General features: G+C 47.0%; 1 protein-coding gene across 8 annotated transcripts in view, besides 4 other annotated features; it reads left to right on the plus strand.

Moving 5' to 3' along the window:
- Window positions 5,506-5,794: a silencer, noted in NCBI's record as "fragment chr8:37960345-37960633 (GRCh37/hg19 assembly coordinates)". NCBI's record gives its function as "represses an EF-1alpha promoter that drives an FKBP-Casp9 reporter gene in an ReSE screen in HepG2 liver carcinoma cells {active_cell/tissue: HepG2}" and the evidence as "EXISTENCE:reporter gene assay evidence [ECO:0000049][PMID:32094911]".
- Window positions 7,976-8,065: a silencer, noted in NCBI's record as "silent region_19115". NCBI's record gives its function as "represses an Ori minimal core promoter by ATAC-STARR-seq in GM12878 lymphoblastoid cells {active_cell/tissue: GM12878}" and the evidence as "EXISTENCE:reporter gene assay evidence [ECO:0000049][PMID:35858748]".
- ASH2L (ASH2 like, histone lysine methyltransferase complex subunit) overlaps window positions 8,172-13,018 on the plus strand; it is a 34,588-nt gene continuing 29,741 nt past the window's right edge. For 4 of the 8 annotated variants that reach the window (XM_005273682.2, XM_006716412.2, NM_004674.5 and 1 more), the window contains exons 1-3: window positions 8,208-8,417; window positions 9,057-9,123; window positions 9,700-9,845. In XM_005273682.2, the coding sequence (XP_005273739.1) occupies window positions 8,230-8,417; window positions 9,057-9,123; window positions 9,700-9,845 (401 nt within the window). In that variant the 5' untranslated portion in view covers window positions 8,208-8,229. Of the gene's footprint in view, window positions 8,418-8,471; window positions 8,819-9,056; window positions 9,124-9,699; window positions 9,846-13,018 lie in introns of those variants that run through there. The other 4 variants (XM_005273683.2, NM_001105214.2, NM_001261832.1 and 1 more) reach the window with 2 other exon arrangements.
- Window positions 8,176-8,305: an enhancer, noted in NCBI's record as "active region_27241". NCBI's record gives its function as "activates an Ori minimal core promoter by ATAC-STARR-seq in GM12878 lymphoblastoid cells {active_cell/tissue: GM12878}" and the evidence as "EXISTENCE:reporter gene assay evidence [ECO:0000049][PMID:35858748]".
- Window positions 8,396-8,595: a silencer, noted in NCBI's record as "silent region_19116". NCBI's record gives its function as "represses an Ori minimal core promoter by ATAC-STARR-seq in GM12878 lymphoblastoid cells {active_cell/tissue: GM12878}" and the evidence as "EXISTENCE:reporter gene assay evidence [ECO:0000049][PMID:35858748]".

A 13,018-nucleotide genomic window follows, 5' to 3' on the forward strand; every position in this document is an offset into this window, starting at 1 on the left:
TGAGGTTTCACCATGTTGGCCAGGCTGGTCTCAAACTTCTGATCTCAGGTGATCTGCCTGCCTCAGCCTCCCAAAAGTGCTGGGATTACAGGCATGAGCCACCACGCCTGGCCAGGACCCAGTTTTGATGGATGCTTTTCTTTTCTTTTTTTTTTTTTCTTTTTCTTAAGATGGAGTCTTAAGATGCTCTGTCACCAGGCTAGAGTGCAGTGGTGAGATCTTGGCTCACTGCAGTCTCTGCCCCCCAGGTTCAAGCAATTCCCCTGCCTCAGCCTCCCAAGTAGCTGGGACAAGAGGCGTGCACCACCATGCCCGGCTAATTTTTTTGTATTTTAGTAGAGACGGGGTTTCACCATGTTGGCCAGGATGGTCTCGATCTCCTGACCTCATGATCCACCCGCCTTGGCCTCCCAAAGTGCTGGAATTACAGGCATGAGCCACTGCCCCAGGCTGGATGCTTTGCTTTGAATTCCAGAAGTTAGGAGGTCTGGTTCTATCGCAGCCTTGCCTACTTTTATCCACAGGTGAGCTACCTGTGGGGGAGGAGGCAAGGAATTCTAAAACCTTGAAACTCAAATAATATTGCCTTCTGTCTCCTCAGCCTCTCAGCATCCGGCTCTGCCTCCTCATTTGGACTTCTGGGTCCCGAGTTCCTCCTGTCCCTCTGCTCTCTCTGATGCCACGGTTAATCAACTGAACTTTCTCACTCTTATCTTTGATTCCCTTTTATCCTGGCCCTGACTCTTACCTGCCTGGCAAAACCAAAACCTCAGATGCATGTTTCCGTTCATCTTTGCTGTGACTCTTACGTAGCTTTGTGCAGATGGAGCAAAGTGTGAAGACAGAAATCCATGCCCCAGCAGGTGTGCATCCTCCAAGCTCAGCCAGGCCTTCCAGTGTCCAGTATTTTCCCTTGGTCTCCTGTTCCCTATAATAACACTAAATGGGCCAGGTGCGGTGGCTCACACCTGTAATCCGAGCACTTTGGGAGGCCAAGATGGGTGGATCACCTGACGTCAGGAGTTTAAGACCAGCCTGGCCAACATGATGAAACACTGTCTCTACTAAAAATGCAAAAAATTAGCTGGACGTGGTGGTGGCAGCCTGTAATACCAGCTACTTGGGAGGCTGAGGCAAGAGAATCACTTGAACTTGGGAGGCGGAGATTGCAGTGAACCGAGGTTGCACCACTGCACTTGAGCCTGGGCAACAAGAGCAAAACTCCGTCTCAAATAATAATAATAATAATACCAAATGATATCCTTCTTCTATTCTCCTTCTTTCCTCCAGTCTCAGGCAATGAATGGGATTGCCTCCTCCAGACCAAGACTAACTTCTCCAACTCTGTCAGCTGACTCAGTTACTCCCTCACCTTCTTTAGAAAGCTGCTCCATCAACCATCTTCTCTCCTATATGTTCAACCTCTGGCTCCCTACTGATGAATAAAACTTTCATTAGCCTGTCCCCCAATCCTGCACTCCCTTCCCAATTATCATCCAATTGTTTTCTCTCCATCAGAGACAAACATTTGTTTAGGGACTATTTCAAACATACTTAAAAAGTACAGAGAACCATGTAGTAAACAAAGATTTAACAGACATTGACATTTTGCCATATTTCACTAGGGTTTTCCCGTTTATGGAAAAAAAATGCAGGCCGGGTACAGTGGCTCATGCCTGTAATCCCAGCACTTTGGAAGGTTGAGGCAGGTGGATCACTTGAGGCCGGGAGTTCAAGACCAGCCTAGCCAACACAGCAAAACCCTATCTCTACTAAAAATACAAAAATTAGCAGAGAGTGGTGGCATGCACCTGTATTCCCAGCTACTCAGGAGGCTGAGGCATGCAAATCACTTGAACCCAGGAGGCAGAGGTTGCAGTGAGCCAAGATCACGCAGTGGCACTCCAGCCTGGGCAACAGAGCAAGACTCCGTCTTAAAAAAAAAAAAATTAAAAGTAAAGAAAAAAAAAAAGCCTCAGGAACACAAAACTGGAAATTTGTCTACACAGCTATTTCTACTTCCATCCCTCCATTCCTCAATCCATTACAATGTGGATGCTGCCCCTACCCTGAAACTTCTCTAGCTAAAATCGTTCACGACTTTTAAAATATAAGTGCCAAGTTAGCACAGTAGCATGAACTGGTAGTCCTAGCTACTTGGGAGGCTGAGGGTGGAGGATCCTTTGACCCCAGGAGTTCAAGTACGGCCTGGGTAACAGAGAAAAACCAGGTGACTTAAAAAAAAATGTAGGTGCCACTCAGGGGTTCAATCCCCAGACCACTGGCATTTGAAAGCATGTTACATAAGCGTTTCATATTGCTAGGGTCACCAAATCAATTTAGTATGTCACTAATGGCATGAAAAAAAGACATAATACAAAGTGCAGAATGTTTAATAAATCTTTTGCTTCAAGTATAAATCATGTGTATACTGGGTCATTGCAAAATGTATTTCTTATGTGAGTTGTGGCTAAAACATTTGAAAGACATTGATCTAAATTAACAGTCTTCAAAATTTTGTTTGCATGAATTTATCATTGTAAGTTTAGTTACAAAGGATTTCATGTGGATTGTAAGCATTAGCATTGTTAAATAAAACCTTAAAAAATATTTCTATTGTAGTGATTTCTATGTCTGTCATCATCCATTCAAGAAATACATAAGTCAGGCATGGTGGCTCATGCCTGTTATCCCAGCACTTTGGGAGGCCAAGGTGGACATATCTCCCCGTCCAGGAGTTTGAGAGTAGCCTGGGGAACATGGAAAAACCCCATCTCTACAAAAAATGGAAAAATTAGCCAGGCATGGTAGTGCACATCTGTAATCCCAGCTACTTAGGAGGCTGAGGTGGGAGGGGCACCTGAGCCTGGGGAGGATGAGGCTGCAGTGAGCTGTGATCCTGCCACTGCACTCTAGCCTGGGCAAGAGAGCAAAACCCTGTCTCAAAAAAAAAAAAAAAAACAAAAACAAAAAATATGAGCAAGTTTTTTTTTTTCTCTTTTTTGAAGCAGGGTCTCGCTCTGTCGCTCAGGCTGGAGGGCAGTGGTGCAATTGTAGCTTGACCTCTCTGGGCTTAGTTGATCCTCCCAAATAGCTGGGACTAAAGCCACAACACCTGGCTAATATTTTGTTTTTTGTAGAGATGAGGGTCTTGCTATATTGCCCAGGCTGGTCTCAAATTCCTGGGCTCAAGTAATCTTCCTGCCTCGGCCTCCCAAAGTGCTGGGATTACAGACATGAGCCACTATCTTTGGCCGGGAATATAATTATTAGTATACAACTGATCAAATGTAGTCTATAGATTGATAATTAAACATAAAAGTCAAAATTTTATTGAAGCTGTAATTCTTAATGGGACTGAGCATTTATTTTTTCAATTCATATGTTCATGAATAAGTATCATTATTGCTAGAATGAGAGGTTTAGCATCGATTACTATTTTTTTTTTTTTTTGAGACTGACTCTTGCTCTGTTACCTCGGCCGGAGTGCAGCGGTGCGATCTCGGCTCACTGCACCTCCACCTCCTGGGTTCAAGCGATTCTCCTGCCTCAGCCTCCCGAGTAGCTGGGACTACAGGCGCGTGCCACCACACCCAGCTAACCTTTTTTTTTTTTTTTTTTTTTTTTGTATTTTTAGTAGAGACAGGGTTTCACCGTGTTAGCCAGATGGTCTCTATCTCCTGACCTCGTGATCCACCCACCTCGGACTCTGAAAGTGCTGGGATTACAGGAGTGAGACACCATGCCTGGCCTATTTTTCATTTTTTTTTAAGAGACTTGTTCTCACCATGTTGCTTGCATTAATGTTGCCCAGGCTTGCCTCCAACTCTTGGACTCAAGATCCTCTCACTTCACCTGTCCCGAATAGCTGGGACAGGCATGCATCACCACACCCAGCATTTTTCATTTTTATAGATAAAAGAGCTGACAACTTTTCTTTACATAAATTAGCATTTTCCCACCCAGGATTTATGAAGCAATGGAACTCAATTCTTTGAACTCCTTCAAAGTTCTATGTCAGGGCCAGGCACAATGGCTCATGCCTGTAATCCCAACACTTTGGGAGGCCGAGGCGGGTGGATCACCTGAGGTCAGGAGTTCCAGACCAGCCTGGACAGCATGGTGAAACCCCATCTCCACTTAAAATACAAAAAATTAGCTGGGCGTGGTGCCACATGCCTGTAATCCCAGCTATTCAGGAGGCTGAGGCAGGAGAATCTCTTGAACACTGGAGGTGGAGGTTGCAGTGAGCTGAGACCGTCACATTGCACTCTAGCCTGGGGAACAAGAGCAAAACTCAGTCTCAAAAAAAAAAAAAAAAAAAAAGTTCTATGTCAGATTATGGTGATCTACCACTAACACCTTTTTTTTTTTCAAGTTTTAATTTTCTGGCCAGGTATGGTGGCTCACGCCTGTAATCCCAGCACTTTGGGGGGCTGAGGTGGGTGGATCACATGGGGGTCAGGAGTATGAGACCAGCCTGGCCAACACGGTAAACCCCGTCTCTACTAAAATAAAAAATTAGCCTGGTGTGGTGGTGGGTACCTGTTATCTCAGTACTTTGGGAGGCCGAGGCAGGTGGATCACCTGAGGTCGGGAGTTCCAGGCCAGCCCTGACCAACATGGAAAAACCCCATCTCTACTAAAAACACAAAATTAGCTGGGCATGGTGGTGCATGCCTGTAATCCCAGCTACTCAGGAGGCTGAGGCAGGAGAATCGCTTGAACCCAGGAGGCGGAGGTTGCAGTCAGCCAAGATCACGCCATTGCACTCCACCCTGGGCAACAAGAGCAAAACTCTGTCTCAAAAAAAAAAAAAAATTTATAGAGACAGGGTCTTGCTTTGCTGCCTAGGCTGGTCTTGAACTCCTAGCTTCAAGCAATCTTCCTGCCTCCTGCCTTGGCCTCCCAAAGTGCTGGGATTACAGGCATGAGCCACTGCACCCAGCCAACATATTTTCTAGAATGTCTTTCAACTTGGATTCATCTGATGCTTTCTCTTGATTAGACTTGGATTATGGATTTTGGGGAATACCAAAGAGATGAAGTTGCCATCTCATTGTATATCGGGGGGTATATTTATAATTTTTTTTTTTTTGAGACGGAGTCTCGCTCTGTCCCCCAGGGTGGAGTGCAGTGGTGCGATCTCAGCTCACTGCAAGCTCCACCTCCTGGGTTCACGCCATTCTCCTGCCTCAGCCTCCCAAGTAGCTGGGACTACAGGCGCCCGCCACCACGCCCGCTTAATTTTTTGTATTTTTAGTAGAGACGGGGTTTTGCCTTGTTAGCCAGGATGGTCTCGATCTCCTGACCTCGTGATCCACCTGCCTCGGCCTCCCAAAGTGCGGGGATTACAGGCGTAGGCCACTGCGCCCGGCCTATAATTTTTAACTGGTTATATTAACCTGACCACTTGGGTAAGGTGGTGTGTTCGCCCATTTCTGCACCGTAAAAACTACTATTTTCTACCAAGAGGAAAAAGAAAATAAATAAAAAATAAAAATTACTATTTTTTTCTTTTTTTTTTTTTTTTTGAGACGTAGTTTCACTCTTGTTGCCCAGGCTGGAGTGTAATGGCGCGATCTCGGCTCACTGTAACCTCGCCTCCCGGGTTCAAGTGATTCTCCTGCCCCAGCCTCCTGAGTAGCTGGGATTACAGGCATGCGCCACCACGCCTGGCTAATTTTGTAGTTTTAGTAGACACGGGGTTTCTCCATGTTGGTCAGGCTGGTCTCGAACTCCTGACCTCAGGTGATCCGCCCGCCTCGGCCTCCCAAAGTGCTGGGATTACAGGCATGAGCCACCGCGTCTGGCCATGTTATTTTCTTTTTCTACATTCTATTAGTTAGAAGCAAGTCACTGAGTCCAGCCCACACAATCAAGGGGAGGGGGGTATTAAAGAATTTGTGTGGAGGCATGATGGCTCACTCCTGTAATCCCAGCACGCTGGAAAGCCCAGGCAAGAGGATCGCTTGAGCTCGGGAGTTGGAGACTAGTCTGAGCAACATGATGAGACCCTGTCTCTACTAAAAATTAAGAAAATTAGCTGGGCGTGCCGGGAGCAGTGGCTCACGCCTGTAATCCCAGCACTTTGGGAGGCCGAGGCAGCGGATCACAAGGTCAGGAGATTGAGACCATCCTGGCTAAAAAACGGCAAAAACCCTGTCTCTATTAAAAATACAAAAAATTAGCTGGGCGCGGTGGCGGGCGCCTGTAGTCCCAGCTACTCGGGAGGCTGAGGCAGGAGAATGGTGTGAACCCGGGAGGTGGAGCTTGCAGTGAGCGGAGATTGCACCACTGCACTCCAGCCTGGGCGACAGAGCAACACTCCGTCTCAAAAAGAAAAAAAAAAAAAAGAATATTAGCTGGGCGTGGTGGCTCGTGCCTATAGTCCCTGCTACTCAGGAGGCTAAGGCAGGAGGATTGCTTTACCCGGGGAACTTGAGGCGGCAGTGAGGTATGATGCCGCCACTGCTGCACTCCAGCCTGAGCGACAGTGCGAGACTCTGTCTCAGAAAAAAAAAAAAAAAACACACAGGTGAAACCCCGTCTCTACTAAAGATACAAAAATTAGCCAGGCGTCATGGCGCGTGCCTGTAATCCCAGCAACTCGGGAGGCTGAGGCAAGAGAATCGCTTGAACCCGAAACCGCGAGGTGGAGGTTGCAGTGAGCTGAGATCGCGCTACTGCACTCAGCCTGGGCGACAAACCGAGACTCCGTTTCAAAAAAAAAAAAAAAAAGCCGTGCGCGGTGGCTCACACCTGTAATCCCAGCACTTTGGGAGGCCCAGGTGGGTGGATCACTTGAGGTCAGGAGATCGACACCAGCCTGGCCAACATGGTGAAACCCCGCCTCTACTAACAAAAATTAGCCGGGCGTGGTGACAGATACCTGTAATCTCAGCTACTCGGGAGGCTGAGGTAGGAGAATCGCTTGAACCTGGGGTGGAGGTTGCAGTGAGCCGTGATCGGGCCACTGCGCTCCAGCCTGGGCGACAGAGCGAGACTCTGTCTCAAACAAACAACAACAAGAAAACACAAAATTCTGCGACCATATGTTAAAACTGCTACAATACTACGTATTTGGGAGGAGATACTTAGATCAAGCATCCTGCTTCTCTTTGGAGTACCAACCCCTGATTTAAGTATTTATCATCAATTTTAAAAATGTAACCTGGCAACTCAGTTAGGTCTTTCTTCAATTTTGTTGAAAACCAATAATTGAGAACCAATTGGGAAATCAATATCTACGTATTTCCCATGGCGTCCAGTGGCCCAGAGATTCCTACACTATCGGTGGACACATCACAGTAAGATTAGACTGAGGATTGGCGAGGGGTGCGCCGTTCTTGTGTAAAGCGGGAGAAGAGTGTATTATCGTTAGGCAACATTTTAGGATATAGGATAAACACTGGTGTCCTGAAAACGTTCCTGGCCGCAACACTCTCAGAGGTTTGCATTCTCGAGTTTGGAGACCATGGCTCTGAAAGACTCAACTCACTCCACTGATGCCAGCCACCAGCTACTGTTGATGACTTCCCAAGTTCGTACTTTCAGTCCACACCTCTTCCTTTCGCTGGGCACCAAACTTGTCTACATTCCGAGTGCCCCGGCACACCCCGGGGCTTCGCTTTCCGCCTCTCACAGTAGGAAGCGGCGAGCCGCTTCTAGTGCCCACGCCGCTCCTCGGCTGCCCGGCCTGGGTTTTCCACCCTCGCCCCTGGAATCGGCCTCCCTAGATTCCCTTCCCTCTTAAAATCATTTGGAAACGGGCTCCAAGGGGCGACCCTGCGCAGAAAACCAAATTCCATCCGGGGCGGGCAGGGAGTGCTAGACTCCAAGGAAGACGTTTCCCACATTCGGTGGTGAGGAGTGTTTGGCGGCACGGCACGGCCAGCGCTCTCAAGGACCCTCTTCTGCGCAGAATATCCAGTCGTAGCCACGAAAATACGCCGCGTCAGTCCCTGACTCGAAAGGAAGTCCTCCAGAGAGCCGCACTAACCATCTAGCTTCCTCCACCTTCAGCCTGCCAGGCCCGCGGCCACCGCCGGCGCGGGAGGCCGGCCCACCTCTGCCCGCGCGCCTGGCCTTAAAGCGGTCGTGGAATTATGCTTCCTCAGGCAGGCGGTGGACGCACCGCGGGCTTTTTCTGTTTGAAGACTACAGCGTCACACAGCAACGCGCGCGAGAGAAGAGAGTATTCTCGCGAGAAGTCCAGGGGTGGCCGTGATGGCGGCGGCAGGAGCAGGACCTGGCCAGGAAGCGGGTGCCGGGCCTGGCCCAGGAGCGGTCGCAAATGCAACAGGGGCAGAAGAGGGGGAGATGAAGCCGGTGGCAGCGGGAGCAGCCGCTCCTCCTGGAGAGGGGATCTCTGCTGCTCCGACAGTTGAGCCCAGTTCCGGGGAGGCTGAAGGCGGGTAAGAGGTCCTGCCGCCCGAGGAAGACGCGGGAGGGAGGCCCGCCCCTCGCGAATCCCGCGGCTCCTGGAGCCCTGCCGCCCGCCCCCTGCGAACCCAGGCCCCGCCGCCAATGGCTCGCCCTGCCTCTGCGCCGCTTGGCCCGTCCCCTCTCAAGCATATCTCGGATAACGCCCCTTCCGCACCTTTCACGGGCGGTGGGAGCTGAGGCTCCTGTCGTTATCTCTGATCCTTGCACCCTGGCAGGAAGCTGGTAGCTCACACTTTAACGGGAGGCCTTCACATATTCCAGAAAAGAAACCACTTTGCAGTGCCAGACTGGAAGAAGTAACGGTCACTCTGAAAACAGGGTGGGAGAGCTGCCTCTCTTTGAACCTCTCCCAGGACCAACTCTAACCCAGGTAGATTTGACTGTAAAGGCCGGTTAGGCTTCCCTGTGCTCCGTGGGTCCGCGACTGTCTGACATGTCCACCTTCTCAGTATCCTGACAGTACCTTGGGCATCCAGTCTGAGATCAGGCTTAGCTGAAAAAGCTGCAGGAGTATGAAGTTCGGCTGTAATTTGATCATCATTTTTGGGAATAGGCATTTTGAGGTTTGTCTTGAGAATTCTTACTTGAGCGCTTTCATTATCTTATAGGGAGGCAAACTTGGTCGATGTAAGCGGTGGCTTGGAGACAGAATCATCTAATGGAAAAGATACACTAGTAAGTATTTTTAGTTGTTTGCAAGACAAAATAGGGTTTGTTTTAGTTATTTCTTCTTCTTCTTTTTTTTTTTTTTTTGTTGCGACGGAGCCTTGCTCTGTCGCCCAGGCTGGAATGCAGTGGCGCGATCTCGGCTCACTGCAACCTCCTCCCCCCGGGTTCCAGCGATTCTCCTGCCTCAGCCTCCCGAGTATCTGGGATTACAGGCATCTGCCAACACACCTGGCTTCTTTTTTTTGTCTTTTTAGTAGAGACGGGGTTTCACCATGTTGGCCAGGCTGGTCTCGAACTCCTAACCTCAGTTGATTCTCCCGCCTCAGCCTCCCAGAGTGTTGGGATTACAGGCGTGAGCCACCGCGCCCGGCCTTGTTTTTACATTTTTAAGCGAATCAAAAATACATTCAGGCCAGGCACGGTGGCTCATGCCTGTAATCCCAGCACTTTGGGAGGCTGAGACCTCAGGATCACTTGAGACCAGCCTGGGCAACATAGGGAGACCCCCGTCTCTTAAAAAAATAAAATAAAGTAAAATACATTCAAGTCAACTGATTTGAGTCTCGAACTGCTCTGACACAGGAAGGTGCTGGGGATACATCAGAGGTGATGGATACTCAGGCGGGCTCCGTGGATGAAGAGAATGGCCGACAGTTGGGTGAGGTAGAGCTGCAATGTGGGATTTGTACAAAATGGTTCACGGCTGACACATTTGGCATAGATACCTCGTGAGTACTTTTCATAGTTTTTGTGAGAATTGCTCGGTAAAATAAATCTGAACATGCTCAACAGTTACTTTGTGGGCAAAATAAATGCAAAGTATTTCCTATGTCTCCTAACCCCTATTCAGCAAGTAGGATGTTGAATCAGGAGTTGTTTTAATTCCCTTAGCATGTTATCTGCTTACTGAGGGCACAGCTCTGGTAGATACAATGGTGGGTATTGCCCCTCCTTTTGAGTTGACAACCTGGTTTGGAGACAAAAAAAAATGCAATTACAAAGTGTTATATAAACAAATTTAGAACAATATAAACCTTGTGTTGGTGTTTTGGATTTTTCAGAAAGGATATATGTGGATAAAGCCTGTTGTCCAAAATTTGAGATGACCCATGCTCTTTATGCCTGAACCATCCTTTTTTTCCTTTCTCATTGCTGCTGACTCACTCCTTTAGGTATATTGTCTACTCTCCTCAGCAAACCTATTTCCAATCATGTACCTCTTCTAGTGAATTAAAATCATATTGTGATTGAGAATGAAAGACTTTTTTCCTTATACTGACTGTCTGTTGGAATAATTGTACTGCTCGCTCTCTGTAATGTTCTTTATGGTTTGTATTATGCTAATACATTTATAAAAGACTATCTAAACATAAGGCTGCATTATCGTGAAATTAATCCACCTTGGGTGAGATTGTGAAGAAATACATATATGTGTGTGTGTGTGTGTGTGTGTGTGTGTGTGTGTGTATATGTATATATATATACATATATATATGTTTTCTTGTTTTTTTCTTGCGACTGGGTCTCGCTCTGCTGCCCAGGCTGGAGTGCAATGGCAGGATCACAGCTTTCTGCAGCCTCGAACTTCTGAGCTCAAGGGATCCTCCTGCCTCACCCTTCCAAAGTGTTGGGATTACTGGCATGAGCCACCACACCCAGCTTTCCTTTATAATCTGTTGTATACTTTCTAGTTAAAAGGTTAAAGTGGGTTTTAGAAATGCTGATGTCTTAATTAACATGTGACTTGTGATTTAGGAAAGAGTGTTTTTAAAAAGAAAGAAAAATACTGAAGGATCAGGAAGAAATAATTGATCTTGGTAGCAACATCTGCTGGGAAAACACACTAGCTAAGCAAGCCTGGTCTCTTAGAGAGGCCTAAGATAGGGCCACTTTTGCCAGAAAAATTTGTTTGGATAGACAGTTTAGGAAAGGAAGTTTACTAGAGAGATAACTGGGAGGAATTCAAGGAAGAATCAAATCACAGTTCAAAGTTTTGGTAGCTTTGGAGACAACAGTTTGTAACTGAATTTCAAAAGTTATATCTAAAGTCCAGTTAGATCCTATCAGTGGTATCAAGTTAAAAAAAAAAAAAGGTGGGGGGCCAGGCGCAGTGACTCACGCCTGTAATCCCAGCACTTTGGGAGGCCAAGGCAGGCTGATCACGAGGTCAGGAGTTCAAAACCAGCCTGACCAACATGGTGAAACCCCGTCACCAGAAAAAAAAATACAAAAATTAGTTGGGCACAGTGGTGCGTGCCTGTAGTCCCAGCTACTCGGGAGGCAGGAAAATCACTTGAACCCGGGAAGCAGAGGTTGCACCCCAGCCTGGGCGACAGTGAGACTCCGTCTCAAAAAAAAAGGCCAGGCATGGTGGCTCACACCTGTAATCCCAGCACTTTAGGAGGCCGAGACAGGAGAATGACGTGAGCCCAGGACTTCGAGACTAGCCTAGGCAACATAGTGAGACCCTGTCTCTACGAGAAATAGAAAAAAATTAGCTGGGCGTGGTGGTTCACATCTGTAGTACCAGCTACTCAGGAGCTTTAGGTGGGAGGATTGCTTAAGCCCTGCAGGTTGAGGCTGCAGTGAGCCATGATTGCTACTGCACTCCAGCCTGGGTAACAGAGTGATACCCTGTCTCAAAAAAGAAAAGAAAAATAAAGCCCAGTTAGGTGGGATGGATTATCTTTTACAACTGAGATAGAGAATGTGAGCTAGCAGGGTATAAAAAAGGCTGCTTTTTACACCTGTTTGTATTTAAATTAAAATAACTATTTACCTACCTATCTTTAGTATGAGGTTTTGTCTTTGTAAATAAGCTTATCACAATAGTCTGTTAAACAGAAGAGGTTCTACAGAGAAGTGAAGGTAAGGAAACTCAGCTGTAACATTTGTAAGAATGTTTCGTAATTCCATGAGGGTAGCAATAGTTGGTAAATGCAGTCTTCTCTGAGGATATCCTAAGCTAGTTTCAGAGTCCAAGATAAACCTTTGTTCTGATTTCTTCTCTTCTAGCTTAAGCCATTTATACTAAAGGTCTTCTGTCCTTCTGTTACTTTGCCCTTTGCAAGACTAAACTCCTGTGCTTTTCCTGTCATCTTGTGCAATCACTACCATGTTTCTCTTCTCAAATGCGTTGGTTCCTCTGTTGCATCCGTCTCTGCCATATTGTCTTTCCCCTCCTGGCCTCTTCCTCTCTTGCCTTCAAATAGGCAAGTCTTCTCTTGATGTCAGGTGATCCATGCGCCTTGGCCTCTCAAAGTTCTGGAATTAGAGGTCTGAGCCACTGTGCCTGGCCTAGTTATTTACATTTTTAATTCATTTTTTCTTACATTCTGCCTGCCCTTTCCAACCACATTATTGACACCATAGAGATACACCTTAGACTACTTTGTCCTCTTCTACAGCTAGCCTGGCATATTCTTTTTAGGTACTCAAAAAATAAACTTAACGAGATACCAGTGAGAACCTTCTAGATGCTGAATTGTCCAGTATAACGGATAAGGTCTTATTAACTTTCGTGACAGAAAAATCCAGGTATTTATAAAAATATGAGCCCTGTTTTGGTTTTGACAACCTTTTTACATTTTAAGACTATGTTAACATATTAACATTTTAATTTACCTGTCACTGAGGGGAATGGATTCATGTTAACTTCTCATAAAGAGGCGTACAGCCTGTGCAGCATGGCGAAACCCTGACTCCATAAAAAAATACGAAAATTAGCTGGGCATGGTGGCTAATGCCTATAGTCCCAGCTACTTGGGGGGCTGAAGTGGGAGAATCAACCTGAGCCAGGGAACGTCAAGTCTGCAGTGAGCTATGATTGCACCACTGCACTCCAGCCTGAGTGGTAGAGTGAGAGCCTGTCTTTAAAAAAAGAAAAAGAAGTGTGTGTGTT

The sequence above is a fragment of the Homo sapiens genome, chromosome 8 (genome assembly GCF_000001405.40).
Source record: "Homo sapiens chromosome 8, GRCh38.p14 Primary Assembly".
Classification (NCBI taxonomy): Eukaryota; Metazoa; Chordata; class Mammalia; order Primates; family Hominidae; genus Homo; species Homo sapiens.